Source organism: Homo sapiens, chromosome 16 (assembly GCF_000001405.40).
Source record: "Homo sapiens chromosome 16, GRCh38.p14 Primary Assembly".
Taxonomy (NCBI): Eukaryota; Metazoa; Chordata; class Mammalia; order Primates; family Hominidae; genus Homo; species Homo sapiens.
Window position 1 is genome coordinate 2,908,146 of NC_000016.10, and position 19,702 is coordinate 2,927,847.

The 19,702-nt window shown below is 50.1% G+C and overlaps 1 protein-coding gene and 1 pseudogene across 24 annotated transcripts in view, besides 7 other annotated features; one reads left to right on the plus strand and one right to left on the minus strand.

The window, feature by feature from the left end:
• Positions 3,537-3,596: a silencer, noted in NCBI's record as "silent region_7082". NCBI's record gives its function as "represses an Ori minimal core promoter by ATAC-STARR-seq in GM12878 lymphoblastoid cells {active_cell/tissue: GM12878}" and the evidence as "EXISTENCE:reporter gene assay evidence [ECO:0000049][PMID:35858748]".
• Positions 3,647-3,956: a silencer, noted in NCBI's record as "silent region_7083". NCBI's record gives its function as "represses an Ori minimal core promoter by ATAC-STARR-seq in GM12878 lymphoblastoid cells {active_cell/tissue: GM12878}" and the evidence as "EXISTENCE:reporter gene assay evidence [ECO:0000049][PMID:35858748]".
• The window catches only part of FLYWCH1 (FLYWCH-type zinc finger 1), a 39,278-nt gene continuing 23,361 nt past the window's right edge, over positions 3,786-19,702 (plus strand). For 18 of the 24 annotated variants that reach the window (XM_047434776.1, XM_011522703.3, XM_047434779.1 and 15 more), the window contains exons 1-2: positions 3,786-4,009; positions 6,031-6,144. The gene's annotated coding sequence lies outside the window, so the exon portion shown is untranslated. Of the gene's footprint in view, positions 4,010-4,290; positions 5,106-6,030; positions 6,145-16,713; positions 16,811-19,702 lie in introns of those variants that run through there. The other 6 variants (XM_047434780.1, XM_047434784.1, XM_047434781.1 and 3 more) reach the window with 5 other exon arrangements.
• Positions 3,977-4,126: a silencer, noted in NCBI's record as "silent region_7084". NCBI's record gives its function as "represses an Ori minimal core promoter by ATAC-STARR-seq in GM12878 lymphoblastoid cells {active_cell/tissue: GM12878}" and the evidence as "EXISTENCE:reporter gene assay evidence [ECO:0000049][PMID:35858748]".
• Positions 4,157-4,256: a silencer, noted in NCBI's record as "silent region_7085". NCBI's record gives its function as "represses an Ori minimal core promoter by ATAC-STARR-seq in GM12878 lymphoblastoid cells {active_cell/tissue: GM12878}" and the evidence as "EXISTENCE:reporter gene assay evidence [ECO:0000049][PMID:35858748]".
• Positions 4,157-4,419: a biological region, named in NCBI's record as "ReSE screen-validated silencer GRCh37_chr16:2962376-2962565".
• Positions 4,230-4,419: a silencer, noted in NCBI's record as "fragment chr16:2962376-2962565 (GRCh37/hg19 assembly coordinates)". NCBI's record gives its function as "represses an EF-1alpha promoter that drives an FKBP-Casp9 reporter gene in an ReSE screen in K562 erythroleukemia cells {active_cell/tissue: K562}" and the evidence as "EXISTENCE:reporter gene assay evidence [ECO:0000049][PMID:32094911]".
• Positions 14,498-15,084, minus strand: RPL23AP86 (ribosomal protein L23a pseudogene 86; annotated as a pseudogene).
• Positions 16,485-17,350: an enhancer, noted in NCBI's record as "H3K27ac-H3K4me1 hESC enhancer chr16:2974631-2975496 (GRCh37/hg19 assembly coordinates)". NCBI's record gives its function as "activates a minimal SCP1, AML or CMV promoter by ChIP-STARR-seq in naive and primed H9 embryonic stem cells {active_cell/tissue: H9 hESC(naive and primed)}" and the evidence as "EXISTENCE:reporter gene assay evidence [ECO:0000049][PMID:30033119]".

Sequence of the window (19,702 nt, forward strand, 5' to 3'; positions counted from 1 at the left end):
AAAATTTAAAAAATTAAAAAATTAGCCGGGGTGGTGGTGCGCACCTGTAATCCCAGCTACTCGGGAGCCTAAGGCGGAAGAATCGCTTGAACCCGGAGGCAGATTTGCAGCGAGCCGAGATCGCACCATTGCACTCCAGCCTGGGCAACAGAGCGAGAGTCCCCCTCAAAATAATTATAATAATAATAATTGCGGCCGGGCGTGGTGGCTCACGCCTGTAATCCCAGAACTTTGGGAGGCCGAGGCAGGCAGATCACAAGGTCAGGAGATTGAGACCAACCTGGCTAACACGGTGAAACCCTGTCTCTACTAAAAATACAAAAAATTAGCCGGACTTGGTGGCGGGCGCCTGTAGGCCCAGCTACTCGGGAGGCTGAGGCAGGAGAATGGCGTGAACCCGGGAGATAGAGATTGCAGTGAGCCGAGATCACACCACTGCACTCCAGCCTGGGCAACAGAGCAAGACTCCGTCTCAAAAAAAAAAAAAAAAAATTGCGGTGGTCTCAACGATGTAAAATTAAAGGTAGTGATTCATTTTCACAAAGATTGACAAGAAAGATGACAACTGGAAACTCAAAAGACCCAGAGTAGGCAAAAGAATATTGAAAAGGAATAACAGGCAGGACGCAGTGGTTCATGCCTGTAATCCTAGCACTTTGGGAGGTCAAGAGGGCAGATCACCTGAGGTCAGGAGTTCGAGACCAGCCTCGCCAACATGGTGAAACCCTGTCTCTACTAAAAATACAAAAATTTAGCCGGACGTGGTGGTGGGTGCCTGTAATCCCAGCTACTTGGGACCCTGGGGCAGGAGAATCACTTGAGCCCGGGAGGTAGAGATGGCAGTGAGCCAAGATCGCACCATTGCACTCTAGCCTGGGCAAGAAGAGCAAGACTCCGTTTCTAAATAAATAAATAAGTAATAGATACATCAATGGAATAGAATCAAGAATCCAGAAACAAACCACATTTATGATCAATTGGTTGTCAACAAGGGTGCCAAAGGTAGGGCGTGGTGGTTAGCACTTTGGGAGGCTGCGGCGGGTGAATAACTTGAGCCTAGGAATGTAAGACCAGCCTGGGCAGGATAGGGAAACCCCGTCTCCACAAAAAAAAAAAAAAAAAAAAAAAAATTAGCCGGGTGCGGTGGTGTGCACCTGTAGTGCCAGGTACTTGGGAGGCTGAGGCAAGAGGATCAATGGAACCCAAGAGTTTGATGGAAGCTGCAGTGAACTGTGATCTCACCACTGCACTCCAACCTGGACGACTGAGGGAGATTCTGTCTCAAAAACTAAACAAAACAAACGAAGAAACAAAAACAGCATCCTGGCCGGGCATGGTGGCTCATGCCTGTAATCCCAGCACTTTGGGAGGCCAAGTCGGGCAGATCACCTGAGGTCAGGAGTTTGAAATCAGCCTGGACAACGTGGTGAAACCCCGTCTCTCCTAAAAATACAAAAATCAGCCGGGCATGGTGGCGCACGCATGTAGTCCTAGCTATTGGGGAAGCTGAGGCGGACAATCTCTTGAACCGGAAAGCAAAGGTTGCAGTGAGCCAAGATAGCGCCATTGCACTCCAGCCTGGGCATCGCAGTCAGACTCCTCTCAAAAAAAGCTGGAGGGGCTGGGCGTGGTGGCTCACGCCCGTAATCTCAGCACTTTGGGAGGCCGAGGCGGGCGGATCACAAGGTCAGGAGATCGAGACCACGGTGAAACCCCGTCTCTACTAAAAATACAAAAAATTAGCTGGGCGCAGTGGCAGGCGCCTGTAGTCCCAGCTACTCGGGAGGCTGAGGCAGGAGAATGGCGTGAACCCGAAAGGCGGAGCTTGCAGTGAGCCGAGATGGCGCCACTGCACTCCAGCCTGGGCGACAGAGCGAGACTCCGTCTCAAAAAAGAAAAAAAAAAAAAAAAAGCCGGGCGTGGTGGCAACTGTCTGTAATAATCCCAATCCCAGCTGCTCAGGAGGCTGAGGCAGGAGAATCACTTGAACCCGGGAGATGGAGGTTGCAGTGAGCTGAGGTCGTGCCACTGCACTCCAGCCTGGGCGACAGAGCAAGACTCCATCTCAAGAAAAAAAAAAAGTAATTAAGTTCTGCTACTATTTTATTTTTGAACAGGGTCTTGCTCTGTCGCCCAGCCTGGAGTGCAGTGGCATGAGCGCAGCTCACTGCAGCCTCCAGCTCCCAAGCTCAAGTGATCCTTCCACCTCAGCCTCCTGAGTAGCTGGGACTACAGCGCATCACCACATCCAGCTAATTTTCTCTTGTTCCTCTTTTCTTTTTTTCTGTAGAGAAAGAGTCTCACTATGTTGCCTAGGCTGATCTCAAACTCCTGGGCTCAAACGATGCTCCTGTCTCAGCCTCCCAAAGTGCTGGGATTACAAGCAAGAGTCACTGTACCCGGCCAACATGGATGAACTTTGAAAGTGCTATGCTAAGGCTAGGCGAAAGAAGTCAGTCACAAGAGACCACATATTTGTTGCATGATTTCATTTATATGAAATATGCAGAATACGCAAATCTATAAAGACAGAAAATAGATCATATTACTTAGGGCTGGGGTGATTAGCAAATTGGAGGGTGGTGGCTAAAGGTTTCTTCTTGGAGTGATGAAAGGTTTTAAAACTGACTATGGTGCTGTTTGCACAACTCTCTGACTATACTACATATCATTTAATTGTACACTTTAAATGGGAGAAATGCATGGTATGTGAATTATATTTCAATAAAGATCTTACCAAAAAATAGTAAGCTGATTGTGTTAACATAGTTTTATGAAAAAGTACAATATTTTCCCAAAGAAATTTAGTGAGACGAGTGACATAGTTATACATTTTTGCAAATATCTTTGTTGCGGGCTTAAAAGAAGACTACTGGCTCTCATACCTGCTTCTACATTCAATGTGTTACATCACACGTCATGCAGACTTTGTAATACTATGTAATATTTCTGCTTTTTTTTTTTTAGACACAGTCTCACTCTGTCGCCCAGGCTGGAGTGCAGTGGCGCCGTCTCGGCTCACTGCAACCTCCGCCTCCCGGGTTCAAGTTATTCTCCTGCCTCAGCCTCCCGAGTAGCTGGGATTACAGGCGCCCAGTACCACGCCCGACTAATGTTCGTATTTTTAGTAGAAACGGGGTTTCACCATGTTGGCCACGCTGTTCTCGAACTCCTGACCTCAGGTGATCCACCCGCCTCGGCCTCCCAAAGTGCTGGGATTACAGGCGTGAGCCACCGCGCCCGGCCCAGGTATTTTTTTGTCGTTGTTGGCTTTCTGATGTAAGAAACAACTGTCCCTTCTCCCCCGTTGACTTATTTCCTTCAGTTTGGACTCATATCGTAGTCAAGGTTATAATCCGTTGCTATCGCTGTTTATTTGAATCTCACACTGGTTCCGCTCTGGGGTAGGGTCACTGGGGGCGTCAATGAGATGCATGAGAATCGCCTTCCCACGGGGTCAGGAAACTGACAGGCCCAAGAGTGCATCTCAGCAAACGCTCCGTTTCCTGCGGGCAGCCTCAGATACTGGGGACCGTCCTGGGGTCTCAATTAAGCGCCCCCTACCCCAGCCCCTTTACGCCAAGAGCGTCCTGTTCAGCTCCCCCATCCTAGCTCCGCCCCTGGACGCCGCCGTCCAATCTCGGGATGGCCCCGCCTTTTCCGTGAGTTACGTCCCCGCCCCCATGCGCTGACAGGCCAGGCCTGCGGCTCGGCGCCGCGCAGGGAAGACCCGGAGCAGCGGTTTACCTAAGGAACGGGCCGCGCGGTCTTGCTGCGCATGCTCTGAAGTAGCGCGCCTGAGCGTTCCGCAAGGCCGGCTCCCCGGCGGGGTCGCGCGCGCGGTCACGGGGCTCGCTCCCGAGGGGCAGGTCGGGGCTGGGAGCTGGTGCCCGGGTCGGGGTGGCGGCGGCGGCCTGGGTCGCGGGGTCGACGCTCGCTGCTGCAGCGGCAGAGGCTGAAGGATCCGCCGCGGCGCTGTCGCGGGAGAGGGAGGGCCCCGCTGCCGTCGGTGAGGACAGGCCCCTGCGGGCGGGGAATGTCCCGCGTCCCCGGCGTGGACGCGCCCGCAGCCCGGCTCTCCCGGGGGTCCCGAGGGTTGCGGGTGCTGGGGAGGGGTCTGCGTCCCGGCGCTCAGGCCGCCTCCTGTGGGGTCTCCCGCGATTCCCTCCTTGCTCCTCGCCCCTCCATCCCCACCCCCCCGTCCCCTGGCCTAAGCCCGACACCCCCACATCAAGGATCCCCGCACTCGTCCGCCGTTTCCTGGCGGTGTCTGCCCCGCCCAGCGCTGCCTTCCTGGACCCGCAGCATCAGCCCCGTCCCACGGTTGCAGCTCGGGCGGTCCCAGTGACCTTGCACTTTTGCGGGTCGGGACGCACCCCGCTCCCGCTTCTGACCCTATAGATCTCCGGTGACGGCTTTCGAACTTTGTTGACCCACAGCCGACACTGAGAAATGCCTTTTACGCGTGTACTCTGTGCCTGTGGGTCTGGATGACTGAAGCACAAGTTTAAAGGGAGACGCTTGTTTAAGCTCACATGACGCAGCTGGATCTGTTCGGATTAAATTCCGTTCCATTCTCTTCCACCCCGTTCCAAAAGGCTGCTGCTAACCCATGGAGCCTGCACATAACGGGTCTGACGTAGTTGAAACCCTCGCTCTAAACCCTGCCTGTTGTTCCTTTATTCCTTGTACTGGAAGCTGAACTCCCATAGTCAGATAATCATGTGCAAACTCCAATTCCAACGAAATGGCTTATTTTTATTTGCATATTTCTGCTTTCCAAGGGCCAATATGATTTCCAGGGCTTGATCTAGATTTTCTCGTGTGATTATATCATGTTTCTCTTGTTCCTTTCCCAAGTGCTACTGGCGGGACGTGTGGAAGGAACAAGGCTGAGGTTGGGGCTAGATTGCGGAGTGTTTATGACGCCCAGCTGATGATGCACTAAGGCTGGAGATGGAGATGATTTAATTGGGGAGAGACATGCTGAAAGTTAAGCTTTAGGAAGAGTGACCTGTCAGCACCCTATGTGGAGAATTGGAGTGGCTGCTTGCCAAAGCTGGCAAGATCGTTCAGAGGCTTTGGCTTGGGCTAAAGAGGTCGTGGTAAGGGATCATGTCCTGAGTTGGTGGGAGTGGGAAGGAGAGGGAAGATGGGTATATCAGGCATAGAGGGAGAGAGATTTGAGGATGCATTAGGCTGTGGGAAGGAGTAAATAAACTTATATTATGATGGAGGGTGACTGGGGAATACCGGGCTGGGGGGGTCTCATTGGCCAAGCTCTCCCTTTCTGTGCGCTCTAATTTCTAAGTTGCTTTGGAGCTGTGGCTCTTGGGCAATTCTGCACCCCAGGGAACGTTCTGCAGTGTTGGTGGTCACAACGTGTGGTAGGGCATGACAGTGGGATCTGGCAGGTAGAGACCGGGGTTGCTGCTGAACACCCCACGCTGAACAGGACAGCCTCCCACAGCAGAATCATCCGGCCCAAAATGCCAACGGTGCTGAGATTGTGAAGTTCATTTTTAGAGTAAATTTTAATTATCTGGGCATCTCTGCCACCTTCAACCTCTTCAGGAGGAATGTCTGTGTGCACCCACTGAGCCTGTGATGTCACCATAGTGGTTCATGTCTGAGGCAAGTGCACCTCCAACGCTCATGGTTCAGTTGCGGGTAGGTGGGAGGTGGGTAGACACTGGAGTCATCCAGGAGCTTTAAAAAAAAATTTTTTTAGTAGAAATGGTGGGGGCGAGGGGCAGGTCTCACTATGTTGCCTAGGCTGGTCTCGAACTCCTGGGCTCAAACAATTCTCTCACCTGAGCCTCCCAAACTGCTGAGATGACAGGTGTGAGCCACCGTGCCACCGGCCCATTCAGAAGCTTTTTAAACAGAGGGCCTTCCCTCCTCCCGCTCCTATCACTCAGGACCCCTACTGCACCTGGATGCTGAACACCTTGTTCTTGTCTAATGGTCGACAGTTCATGGAATAATTTCACCTGCAGTATTTCATTTGCCACTTTACTTTCTTCACAGGTGAAACCAGCCCAGAGAAGTTACGGGATTTGCCCCCGGGGCTCCTGCCCAGCAAGCCAGCGCCGTGACCCAGGTGTGGGGGATGATGGTGACGCTTCTCACTCACGTGTGAAGGTAATTCTGTGGCTCCATCAGCTGCCGACAGAGCCGCCTGGTTTTCGAGCCTTACTGATTAGAGTTTGGACCCCTTGGTGTCTGAGAGACACCTGACAGTTGCTAACATGTGACCCTTAGGTCTACGCTGAGCCCTTGTGGTCACCAGCAGGACCGCAGCGTCCCAGTAGGCCATCTGGCATTGCACTCAAATTGCTCCGCACCCTCAATTCTGGGAGAAGGGGAGAGAGGACAGGAGAGTGATGCACCATGAACTGAGACTTTGGAGCTTTCCATGCAAATCTGCCGGCCTGTGCTCCATTCACTTAAGAAATCTGTACTGAGTGCAGCCAGGCATGGTGGTTCACGTCTGTAATCCCAGCACTTTGGGAGGCTGAGGTGGGCAGATCACCAGAGGTCAGGAGTTTGAGACCAGCCTGGCTAACATGGTGAAACCCTGTCTATACTAAAAATACAAAAAATTTAGCTGGGCGTGGTGGCGCACACCTGTAATCCCAGCTACTCAGGAGCCTGAGGAGCAGAATCGCTTGAACCTGGTTCAAGGATTCAGCGGAGGTTGCAGTGAGACAGGATCGAGCCACTGCACTCCAGCCTGGGCGACAGAGTGAGACTCTGTCTCAAAAAAAAAAAAAAAAAAAGAAATTTGTACTGAATGAAGATTGAACATTACAAAAGAAACACATTAGGGCCCCTGTATCTACTGTAAAACAATGGGTATCTACTGTAAAAAAAAAAAGCACTTAAACTAGAGTAACAAAAGTTTCTAATTTTTATTAAATGAGATATTTATTGAATTTATTAAATAATATAAATGTATTAAAATATACTCATTTTTATTACATGCACTGAAATTTTTTTTTTTTTTCCTGAGACAGTCTCATTTTGTTGCCTAGGCTGGAGTGCATTGGTGTGATCTTGGCTCACTGCAACCTCCATCTCCCCGGTAGGTTCAGTGAGTTCTGCCTCAGCCTCCTGAGCAGCTGGGATTACAGGCATGCACCACGACCGACTAATTTTTTTGTATTTTTAGTAGAGACAGGGTTTTACCGTGTTGGCCAGGCGGCAAACTGGGATTACAGGCCTGTGCTACCAAGCCCAGCTAATTGTTGTATTTTTAGTAGAGACAGGGTTTCACCATGTTGGCCAGGCCGGTCTCAAACTCCTGAGCTCCACCTTACTGGCTAACGGTAAGTAAAATCTTTAACATGTGTTTGCTTTATATGAGTATAAAAGAATTGTATTTCCTTTGTTTTGGTCTAGGGCACTGTTTTTGAAACTGCTTAGTCATTGGTCCTAAAATCATTAGGTTCCAGTCAGCAATTTTTAAAATTACATGGGCTGGTCGCAGTGGTTCACGCCTGTAATCCCAGCACTTTGAGAGGCCAAGGTGGGCGGATCACGGGAGGCAGAGGCACCAGAATGGCTTGAGCCTGGGAATCGGAGGTTGCAGTTAGCTGAGATCTAGCCACTGCTCCCCAGCCTGGGAGACAGAGCAAGACTCTGTGTCGAGAGAAAAAAAAAAAAAAGAGAGAATCCAAAGAAGAATCTACAAGATTCTAGATCAGGAATATTGAAATGAATGTGCAAATGGAGGCAAAACTGGCCTCTTCTACAGTGGCCAAGGAAACATATTTTTGATTATAAGGCTGATTTCATCATATTTGGCCTGATTATGTAGTGCAGCAATAGTACTGATTCACCAGATAAGCCTACCTGAGTTTGCCTGCCTGGAAGTCTCCATAAGGAAACTTAGACTTTTTAAAGTCTGTTGTTTTGGCCAGGTGCCGTGGCTCACACCTGTAATCCCAGCATTTTGGGAGGCAAAGACGGGCTGATCACTTGAGGTCAGAAGTTCGAGACCAGCCTGGCCAACATGATGAAACCTCATCTCTACTAAAAACAAAAGTTAGCTGGGCGTGTTGGTGCGTGCCTGTAATCCTAGCTACTCAGGAAGCTGAGTCAGGATAATTAACCTAGGAGGCAGAAGTTGCAGTGAGCTGAGATCATGCCACTGTACTCCAGCCTGGGCAACAGAGTGGGACTCCATCTCAAAACAAAAATACAGGCCGGGTGTGGTGGCTCACGCCTGTAATCCCAGCACTTTGGGAAGCTGAGGCAGGCGGATCACGAAGTCAGGAGATAGAGACCATCCTGGCTAACATGGTGAAACCCCGTCTCTACTAACAAAATACAAAAAATTATCCAGGCCTGGTGGCAGGTGCCTGTAGTCTCAGCTACTCTGGAGGCTGAGGCCGGAGAATGGCGTGAACCCAGGAGACAGAGCTTGCAGAGAGCCGAGATCGCACCACTGCACTCCAGCCTGGGTGACAGAGCGAGACTCCATCTCAAAAAAACAAAACAAAACAAAAAATAAAAAAAAGAAAAAAGAAATTTAAAAATTCGTTGTTTGATATCCTGAGACACAGAAGGCAAGTCCAGGATGCTTTCTCCATCAGATTTTACCTGTAGTACTTAAAATTTGGGCAAATTCCTCTCTTCTTGAGGTTCCCCAAAATACCCCTAAGGTTCCTGAAACTTGTTAAATTGCTAATACTTTCAAAAACGAGGAAATCGGCCAGGCATGGTGGCTCACTCCTGTAATCCCAGCTCTTTGGGAGGCCGAGGGGGGTGGATCATGAGGTCAGGAGTTCGAGATTAGCCTGGACAACATGGTGAAACCCCATCTCTAGTAAAAAAAAAAAAAAAAATAACAAAAATTAGCCAGGCGTGGTAGCGCGCACCTGTAATCCCAGCTACTTGGGAGGCTGAGGCAGGAGAATCGCTTGAAACCAGAAGGCAGAAGTTGCAGTGAGCCGAGATCATGCCACTGCACTCCAGCCCAGGTGAAAGAGCGAAACTCTGTCTCAAAAATAAAAAAAAGTAAAAAAAATTTTTAAAAAGCCATGACTTTCCCAATAATACAAAGTAAGCTTGTTAATAATTTTTTTTTTTTTTTTGAGATGGAGTTTTGCTCTTGTCACCCAGGCTGGAGTGCAATGGTGGGATCTCTGCTCACTGCAACTTCCACCTCCCGGGTACAAGCGATTCTCCTGCCTCAGCCTCCCGAGTAGCTGGGATTACAGGCGCCCACCACGACGCCCAGCTAATTTTGTATTTTTAGTAGAGACGGGGTTTTGCCATGTTGGTCAGGCTGGTTTCGAACTCCTGACCTCAGGTGATCCGCCCATCTCAGCCTCCCAAAGTGCTGGGATTACAGGTGTGAGCCACCATGCCCGGCCGTTAATGATTTTCTGTGACATTAATGAGGAAACCTGTATGACATTAAAGAGTAAATGAGATGATGTAGATAAAATACTTCAGGTATTTTAGTGCCCAGCACAAAGCAAACCTCAGGTGTTGCTTAGGTTCGTCGCTTAGCTGCAGTCTTCTGTTTCCCAAGGTCATCTATTCTAGTGTTTGTCAAAGTCTAGTTCACAGTCTATCAGTATCAGGAGGATTTGTGAAAAATCTAGATTCTTGTTCCTCCCTCTTCCTTTGGCCTCCCTCTTCCCCTCCCCCGATCCTCTCCCCACCCCCCAAAATCTGGAGTCTTTTCTTCCCCCTCGAGATGGAGTCTCACTGTTGCCCAGGCTGGAGTACAGTGGCACGATCTTGGCTCACTGTGCAACCTCCACTTCCTGGGTTCAAGCAATTCTCCCTGCCTCAGCCTCCTGAGTAGCTGGGATTACAGGCGCCCGCCACCATGCCCAGGTAATTTTTGTATTTTTTGGAAGAGATGGGGTTTTGCCATGTTGGCCGGGCTTGTCTTGAACTCCTGACCTCAAGTGATCCACCCACCTCGGCCTCCCAAAGTGCTGGAATTAGAGGTATGTGCCACTGTGCCTGGCCTTGGATTCCTTTTTTTTTTTTTTTTTTTTGAGACAGTGTCGCTCTGTCGCCCAGGCTGGAGTGCAGTGGGGCAATCTCGGCTCACTGCAAGCTCCGCCTCCCAGGCTCACACCATTCTCCTGCCTCAGCCTCCCGAGTAGCTGGGACTACAGGCGGCCGCCACCGCGCCCAGCTAATTTTTTGTATTTTTAGTAGAGACGGGGTTTCACCGTGTTAGCCAGGATGGTCTCGATCTCCTGACCTCGTGATCCGCCTGCCTTGGCCTTCTAAAGTGCTGGGATTACAGGCGTGAGCCACCGCGCCAGGCTTTTTTTTTTTTGAGAGGGAGTTTTGCTCTTGTTGCCCAGGCTGGAGTGCAATGGCAGGATCTTGGCTCACTGCAACCTCCACCTCCCGGTTTCGAGTGACTCTTCTGCCTCAGCCTCCTGAATAGCTGGGATTACAGGCATGCACCAACATGACCATCTAATTTTTGTATTTTCAGTAGAGACGGGGTTTCTCCATTTTAGTCAGGCTGGTCTCAAACTCCCGACCTCAGGTGATCCGCCTGCCTCGGCCTCCCAAAGTGCTGGGATTAGAGGCGTGAACCACCGTGCCTGGCCTTAAATGTTTTTAAGTTATAAACATGTAAAATAAAATTCGCCAATGAATAACAAATATGACCAGAATAGAAAGGAAATAGTAGGAAAGACCAGTGGATTGAGGGCTAGAACGTAGTGTCTTGTCCAAGTAATATTTTGGTCTTTTTTGGAAACAAAAACTTGTTTAGAAAGATAGTCTTTACTGAATTTGTTAATTGGATTTTGCTTTCTTTTTTTTTCTTTTTTGAGGCAGAGTCTCCCTCTTTTGCCCAGGCTGGAGTGCAGTGGCATGATCTCGGCTCACTGCAACCTCCAAAGCAATTCTTCTGCCTCCACCTCCCAAGTAGCTGGGATTACAGGTGCTCACCACCACTCCTGATTAATCTTTTGTGTTTTAGTAGATGTTATCCAAGGTGGTCTCGATCTCCTGACGTTGTGATCCACCCACCTCAGCCTCCCAAAGTGCTGGGATTACAGGCGTGAGCCACCACACCCAGCTGCTCTCTGATATATGCGTGTATATTTATTCATTTGTTTTAATTTTTTGTTTCTTTTTTTTTTTTTGAGACGGAGTCTTGCTTTGTCTCCCAGGCTGGAGTACAGTGGTATGGTCTCGGCTCACTGCAACCTCTGCCCCCTGGGTTCAAGCGATTCTCCTGCCTCAGCCTCCCGAGTAGTTGGGATTACAGGCATGCGCCACCACACCCAGCTAATTTTTGTATTTTTAGTAGAGACGGGGTTTCACCATGTTTGCCAGGATGGTTTCGATCTCTTGACCTCGTGATCCGCCTGCCTTGGCCTGCCGAAGTGCTGGGATTACAGGCGTGAGCCACCGCGTCTGGCCTATTTTTTGTTTCTTGAGATGGGGTCATGTGATGTTGCCCAGATTGGCTTCAAACTCCTGGGCTCAAGCCATTTTCCTGCCACAACCTCCCAAGTGGCTGGGACTACACATACGCACCACCATGCCCAGCTCGAAGTACTACTTTTTGTAAATATAACATTTTGGAAATCCTCTTGAATTTTTTTTCCAACTTGGAAAAATTTCCAAATTCTTGTTTGAAAACATTGCCACCCGTGTAATTTTACCAAGGCAATAGGAACATTTCAGGAGCAACACCACCATCTTGTGGCCATATGGAGTATTGCTGCTGAGGATTTAAATTTGCGCTTCCCCCGTGACGGGTGGTCCTGCCTTATGTAATGGTCCTTTGGAAAGACTCCAGGTGGCCTCTGGTGGGGGCTTCCTGCTCTCGAGGGGGATACAGTAGCAGACATGATTGAACGCAGTGTGTGCTACAGAAAAGCAAGCGCCTTAAAGGCATTAGTTCAACAATGGAAGTAGTTGTGCATTTGAGTGGCAGGATTAGGGGTCATTTTAGTATTATAGTCTTAACATTCTGAAATAGTTTCTATATATTTTTAGAATATGATATTAGAACTTAGAAAATTTCACAACATATAATGCATGCCACCCCTTCTTTGATGAGTAAACCAAACCCAAGAACAAGAAGCTTCTGATGTTTAGTAGAGCACCTGTAATCCCAGCACTTTAGGAGGCAGGTAGGTAACTAGAGGCCAGGAGTTCGAGACCAGCCTGGCCAAAATGGTGAAACTCCATCTCTACTAAAAATACAAAACAAAATTTAGCCATGTGTGGTTTCAGGTGCCTATAATCCCAGCTACTCAGGAGGCTGAGGCCTGAGAATCGCTTGACCCAGGAGGCGGAGGTTGCAGTGAGCTAAGATTACGCCATTGCACTCCAGCCTGGGTGGCCGTGAGACTCTGTCTTAAAAAAAAAAAAAAACACTTTTCCACCAAGAGACCCTTGGAATCTGAGTCATTCTGACCATTGTTTGTTTGTTTGTTTTTGTTTTTTTGAGATGGAGTTTTGCTCTTGTTGCCCAGGCTGGAGTGCAATAGCGTGAGCTCCTGCCTCAGCCTCCCGAGTAGCTGGGATTGCAGGCATATGCCACCATGCCTGGCTATTTTTGTATTTTTAGTGGAGACGGGGTTTCTCCATGTTGGTCGGGCTGGTCTCAAACTCCCCACCTCAGGTGATCTGCCCACCTTGGCCTCCCGAAGTGCTAGGATTACAGGCGTGAGCCACAACGCCTGGCCTTTTTTTTTTTTTTTTTTTTTGAGACAGTCTCACTCTGTCGCCCAGGCTGGAGTGCAGTGGCGCGATCTCAGCTCACTGCAACCTCTGCCTCCCGGGTTCAAGCGATTCTTCTGCCTCAGCCTTCCGAGTAGCTGGGACTACAGGCGCCCGCCACCACGCCCAGTTAATTTTTTGTGTTTTTAGTAGAGACGGGGTTTCACTGTGTTAGCCCGGATGGTCTCGATCTGCTGACCCCGTGATCTGCCCGCCTCGGCCTCCCAAAGTGCTGGGATTACAGGCGTGAGCCACCATTCCCAGACAGGGATTGTTTTTCAATAACTTTCCTGAGATATAATTTACATAATACCATATGATTTCTCCATCTAAAGTCTACAATTCATTGCTTTTAATATATTCAGAAAGCTGTCCAAGTATCACCACCATCAATTTTAGGACTTTTTAAGTCTACAATTCATTGCTTTTAATATATTCAGAAAGCTGTCCAAGTATCACCACCATCAATTTTAGGACTTTTTTTTTTTTTGCTTCTAAAGCCAGAGGGAGGATGGTTGCTCCCTTTCTCTGGACAGGGAAGCGGGTGAGAAGAGCTTATAGAGGCATCCATCCGGTGCTTGGGAGGCTGAGGTGGGAGGATCGCTTGATCCCAGGAGTTCAAAACCAACCTGGAAATATAGCAAGACCCTGTCATTACCAAAATATTTTTTTTTAATTTAATTAAAAAACCAGGCTGGGCAACCTGGCAAAACCCCGTCTCTACAAAGAATACAGAAATTAGCCGGGCATGGTAGTGTGCGCCTGTGGTCCCAGCTACTCTGGAGGCTGAGGTGGGAAGATGGCTTGAGCCTGGGAGGCAGAGGCTGTAGTGATCACGCCACCACACTCCGGTTTAGGCTGTAGTGAAATCCTGCCACTAAAATAAAAAATAAAAGGTATTCATTCTGGCCGGGTGTGGTGGCTCACACCTGTAATCCCAGCACTTTGGGAGGCCAAGACAGGCAGATCATGAGGTCGGAAGTTCGAGACCATCCTGGCCAATATGGTGAAACCCCATCTCTACTAAAAAATACAAAAATTTGCTAGGTGTGGTGGCGCGCGCCTGTAGTCCCAGCTACTCAGGAGGCTGAGGCGGGAGAATCACTTGAACCCGGGAGGCAGAGGTTGCAATGAACTGAGATCGTGCCACTGCACTCCTGCCTGGGCAACTGGGTGACAGAGTTAAAAAAAAGAATCCATCTTAAATGGGTACATTTTGAATCAGATAAAAATCATATTCTGAATCATGGCGGGATAACTTTAGTTACTAGAAAATCTACCTTGTAGGGAGAAGCTTATTCACTGATAATGTTAGGGAAATGGGGTGTTTTGTGTATAGTTTGTTACAGATGGCTCGTGTGTGTGTGTGTGTGTGTGTGTAGGGTTAAATATACATGACGTAAAATTTACCATATTGGTCATTCATGTAAATTGCATCCTACAACCCTTGGTCTTTGTGAGCAGCTGCTCTCCCTGAGCCTCGATGTTGAAGTGTCCAGGTCAGCGGTTCACATTCATTGTTCATCCGTCACCACCGTCCATCTCCAGAACCTTTTCATCTTCCCCAACGGCTGCTCTGTGCCCATGAAACACTCCCTCCTCATCCTCCTGCCCCTGGCACCCCCATTCTACTTTCTGTCCCCATAAGTTTGACTGCCCTGGGGACCTCATACAAGTGGAATCAGACAGTGTTTGTCCCCTTGTGCCTGGCATGTCGTATGTTGCAGATTTTTTTATGGTGAAAAGATATACATATATTTAGAATTAGCCAGCCGGACTCGGTTTACATGATCTCCATTTTGTTGGCCACACCCAAAGCATCCTGATCAGGAGCCAGTGGAACATGTGCCTTCTTCTCTCCATCAGGCCCAATCAGGGTATTGACCTGGGCCACAACCACCTCACAGAGTTCTTCACAGCCTGTTTGAGCTGGTGCTTGTTGGCTTTAACATCCACAGTGAAGACAAGTGTGTTGTCTTCTGTCTTCTTCATGGCAGACTCAGTGGTCGGTGGAAAATTGATGATCGCATAGTGGTCAAGCTCGTTTCTCCTGGGGGCGCTCTTCCGAGGATATTTGGGCTGCCTCCGGAGTCGCAGTGTCTTGGGCTGCCAGAAGGCGGGTGACGCGCGGATCTTTTTTTGGGGGGGCTGTTGTGTGGATCTTTTTTTGTGTGTGTGTGGCTGTTGTGCGGATCTATTTTTTTTATAGTTTGTTTTGTGTGTGTGGCTGTTGTGAGGTTCTTTTTTTGTGTGGCTGTGGACGCCTTTCAACGCTGCCGCCTTGGCCTTTAAAGCCTTTGCTTTGGCTTCAGCTTTACAAGGGGCAGGAGCTCCCTTCTTCGCTTTCAGCGCCATCTTGTGAAGAGGCTGTTTTTGTTTATTTTTATTTTTGAAATGGAGTCTCGCTCTGTCGCCCAGGCTGGAGTGCAGTGGTGCGATCTCTGCTCACTGCAACCTCTGCCTTCTGGTTCAAGCGATTCTCCTGCCTCAGCCTCTCGAGTAGTTGGGATTACAGGCGTCCGCCACCACGCCCGGCTAATTTTTGTATTTTTAGTAGAGACGGGCTTGCCTATGTTGGCCAGGCTGGTCTCGAACTCCTGACCTCAGGTGATCCGCCCGCCTCAGCCTCCCAAAGTGCTGGGATGGCAGGCGTGAGCCACAGCGCCCGGGCAGTGCAGATGTTTTAAAATGCATACTTCTCCTTTGCTGTCCCTTATACTTCATATTTTTGTTTCCCTCGTTACAAGCCATTTATATGCACCCATCTGGGGGATGTGGTGTTTGTGTTGCACAGCATATGGCAATCTGGAGCTCACACATAGTTTTATGTCAGATATTTCATAACCGTTTGCATTATTCCATCTATTAAAAAGCCAGAATCGGCCCGGCGTAGTGGCTCACACCTGTAATCCCCGCACTTTGGAAGGCTGAGGCGGGTGGATCACTTGAGGTCACGAGTTCGAGACCAGCCTGACCAACATGGTGAAACCCCATCTCTACCAAAAAATACAAAAATTAGCCAGGCATGTTGGCGGGCACCTGTAATCGCAGCTACTTGGGAGTCTGAGGCAGAATAGCTTGAAACTCAGGAGGTGGAGGTTGCATTGAGCTGAGATCGTGCCACTGCACTTAGCCTGGGCAACAGAGAGACCCTGTCTCAAAAAGGTAAAAAGCTGGCCGGCACGGTGACTCACGCCGGTAATCCCAGTACTTTGGGAGGCCGAGGCAGGCGGATCACGAGGTCAGGAGATCAAGACCATCCTGGCTAACACGGTGAAACCCCGTCTCTACTAAAAATACAAAAAATTAGCCGGGCGTGGTGGCGGGCGCCTGTAGTCCCAGCTCCTCGGGAGGCTGAGGCAGGAGAATGGCGTGAACCCGGGAGGCGGAGCTTTGCAGTGAGCCGAGATCCGAGCACTGCACTCTAGCCTGGGTGACAGAGCGAGACTCCATCTCAAAAAAAAAAAAAAAGTAAAAAGCCAGAACCCACTAGAGTCACTTACTTGCCAAGCATATCAGCTATTGTGTAGCATACGACCCATGATCTTACTGGCTTGAAATAATAGGAGTTCCCCAGTGAACAGGGTTCTGTGGGGTTCCCAGGCTCCTTCATGTCTGCAGGCATCTAAGAGACTGCTGGGCTGCAGGGTACAAGGTGGTTTCCCTGAATGTGGCAGTGCTCTGCACATGGCCTCTCCTACAGCTGCCTTCCCTGCAGACTCAGGGCCCTGGCCCGTGAGGCGTGGGAATGTGTACCCTACGCTCCTGCCACGCTGTGGGTCACGCAACCCCCCCAGGCTAGTCAAGGTTCAGGCAGGTGGAGACAAAGCCCGGTTGCTGAGGGGCCTGTGGACTTTAACGGGCGGAGTGGCGGTGGGTCAGCATCTACCATCCAAGAGCCTGAACGGGCAAGAGTGGGAACGGGTCCTCAGCCTTCCACAAGCCGGCGGTCAGGGCCTTTTCTTGTATTGGAACTTTTTCCAGATCTGTTGAAGCACATGTGTCTTGGAAGCCCTTTAAACAGAAGTGGGAAGTGGTCGCCAGAGGACTGCGCTCTCTCCTGTCACTTCCTGTGACTCGGGTACAGCTCCATGGGAATGTGGGGCTTTCCTTGTCAGGCCAAGCTTGACGCAGTCCCCACCTTCACTCTGACGGCCTGGGACAGGCCCCTGCCCGCCTGCACTCCCATGGCGCAGCTGTGTCCTGCAGGACCAGCTGGCGGGGTGAACAGTGTGCGAGTCACTGTGCCAGCCTGCATAGTCTGGGAGGCCTCTGTCAGGAGCAACCTGGCGTCCCCATGCCTCGCCCTGGCTGGGAGGGAGGCCGGGAATCACGGCAGTTCTCAGGGAGGTGCCTCCCCAGGAACAAAGGGGACTTTCTCCAGAGGGCGGGGGCCTCGCGGGACCTGGGCTGGGGGGACCCCGGGAGGGTGCAGGGTCAAGGAACTGCCACGTCCATCGTCCATCCATTCCCATACATCCCGGTTCATGCTGTCCTGCCTCGTCCTGCCCTCATCCTCATCCTTCCTGGTTTAGCCTCACCCGGTCCCACCCGGTCCCACCCAGTGCCATTCAGTCCCACTCAGTCCCACTCATCCCCATTCATCCCTGGAGCTCAGAGCGAGGGAGCGGGAGGGGCGGGCTGCCGGTAGAAGGACTTGTGCCCAGGCCAATCAGCGCGCGCGGGGTAGGGGGAGTTGCGGGGGGAGGGGGGTACGGGGCTTTCCGCCCTAACCTTTTCCTGCCTGGAGCCGCTCTGCTCGAGAGGCGCCTGCGAAGTCAGCTGGGGTTGCCCCTGCACCTCGTGTCACCCTGTGGGGCGGCATGAGTAGGCCCAGAAGGACGGCATGGAGGAACAGGCTGGGCCGGGGCTGGGGGAGGTGTGGTGGGACTGGCCCTCCTGGTACCTGTGATTTCCTGGGGACCGGGCCTTAATGGAGTTAAGGAGCCGCTCCCCTCTGCGTTGTCTCCGGAGCCGACCAGGCCTTCGGGAGTGGAATGTGGGGCCCCAGGCCAGGGAACTTTGGATCAAAGTGGGAGACCAGTGGGAACTGGAGCTGCAGCATGTGAGGTGGGGGTGAGGACGCTGAAAATGTCAGGGACTGCAGTCTCGATTCCAGGCTGAGAGGTGGGAAAGACCCCACCATCTGCCCACACTCAGTTGCCCCAAAAAAGCCCCACCCCACACCATGACTGCCACTGACTGCCCCCAGGTCCCTGCCCCATTCCCCATTATTTGCCCTTTCTGCCTCTCCAGGCTGGAACCCGTGGTGACCACGGGATTAAGTTAGAGCCTGTACAGAAAATCTAACTATGCTATTTCAAACAATAGAACAATTCTGCCCATGGTTTCCAGAACAAGGAACTTTAGATCTAAAGGATTGGGAAAAAATTGGCAAAGAATTAAAACAAGCAAATAGGGAAGGTAAAATCATCCCACTTACAGTATGGAATGATTGGGCCATTATTAAAGCAGCTTTAGAACCGTTTCAAACAGGAGAAGATAGCGTTTCAGTTTCTGATGCCCCTGAAAGCTATGTAATAGATTGTGAAGAAGACAAAGGGACAGAATTCCAGAAAGGAATGGAAAGTTCACATTGTAAGTATGTAGCAGAGTCTGTAATCGCTCGGTCAATGCAAAATGTTGACTTAAACAAGTAAGGGTTATTTGCCTCAGGGCCTGGGAAAAAAATTCATGGACCCAGGAACCACCTGCCCGTCTTTTAATTCAATTAGACAAGGCTCTAAAGAGCCCTACCCTGACTTTGTGGCAAGATTGCACGGTGCCGCTCCAAAATCTATTACAGATGATAACACCCAAAAGGTTATTGTAGAATTAATGGCCTATGAAAATGCAAATCCGGAATGTCAATTGGCCATAAAGCCATGTTGACTACAATCAATTACAGGAGGTAACATATCCTGAATCATCAAAATTGGGGGGAAAAGTGGGGCCATCAGAGTCTAAACCACAATGGCCAACTCCTCCTCCCGTGGTTCAGATACCTGTAACATTACAACCTCAAATGCAGGTTAGACAAGTACAAACCCCAAGAGAATATCAAATAGAAAAGGATAGTCTCTATCTCGGCAATGCCAATCCAGATACAGTATCCACAATATCAGCCAGTAGAAAATAAAACCCAACCGCCATTAGCTTATCAATACTGGCTGCCAGCCGAGCTTCAGTATTGGCTGCCTCCAGAGGTCCAATACAGACCTCAAGTGGTGTGTGCCATGCCAAATTGCACGGCATCGTACAAGCAACCCATGGCGGTGGTGTTTAATACGTCAGCACCACAGGGCGCGGCGCTGTGTCCTCAGCCGCCCACTATGAGACTTAATCCAACAGCACCACCTAGTGGACAAGGTAGCACACTGCACGCGATCATTGATGAAGCTAGAAAACAGGGAGATCTTGAGGCGTGGCAGTTCCTGGTAATTTTACAATCGGTACCGGCCGGGGAAGGGGCTCCAGCAGGAGCACCTGCGGTGGCTAATGCTAGATATGAACGCTTCACCATGAAAATGTTAAAAGACATGAAGGAAGGAGTTAAACAATATGGACCCAACTCACCTTCTATGAGAACATTATTAGATTCCATTGCTCCAGCAGGAGTTGATGTAGTTACAGAATATGTGAAGGCTTGTAATGGGATTGGAGGAGCCATGCATAAAGCTATCCTAATGGCTCAAGCAATGACTGGGGTTGCTTTAGGAGGACAAGTTAGAACATTTGGGGGGAAATGTTATAATTGTGGCCAAATTGGTCGTCTAAAAAAGAATTCCCCGGCTGGCTCAGTCAGTAGATCATGAGACTCTTAATCTCAGGGTCGTGGGTTCACGCCCCACACTGGGCGCCAGGTGAAGGAGGCCTGCCGCTCCACACCTATGGATATTTCTCGTCAGGTGGAGATGAGACTGATAAAAGAAATAAGACACAGAGACAAAGTATATAGAAAACAGTGGGCCCA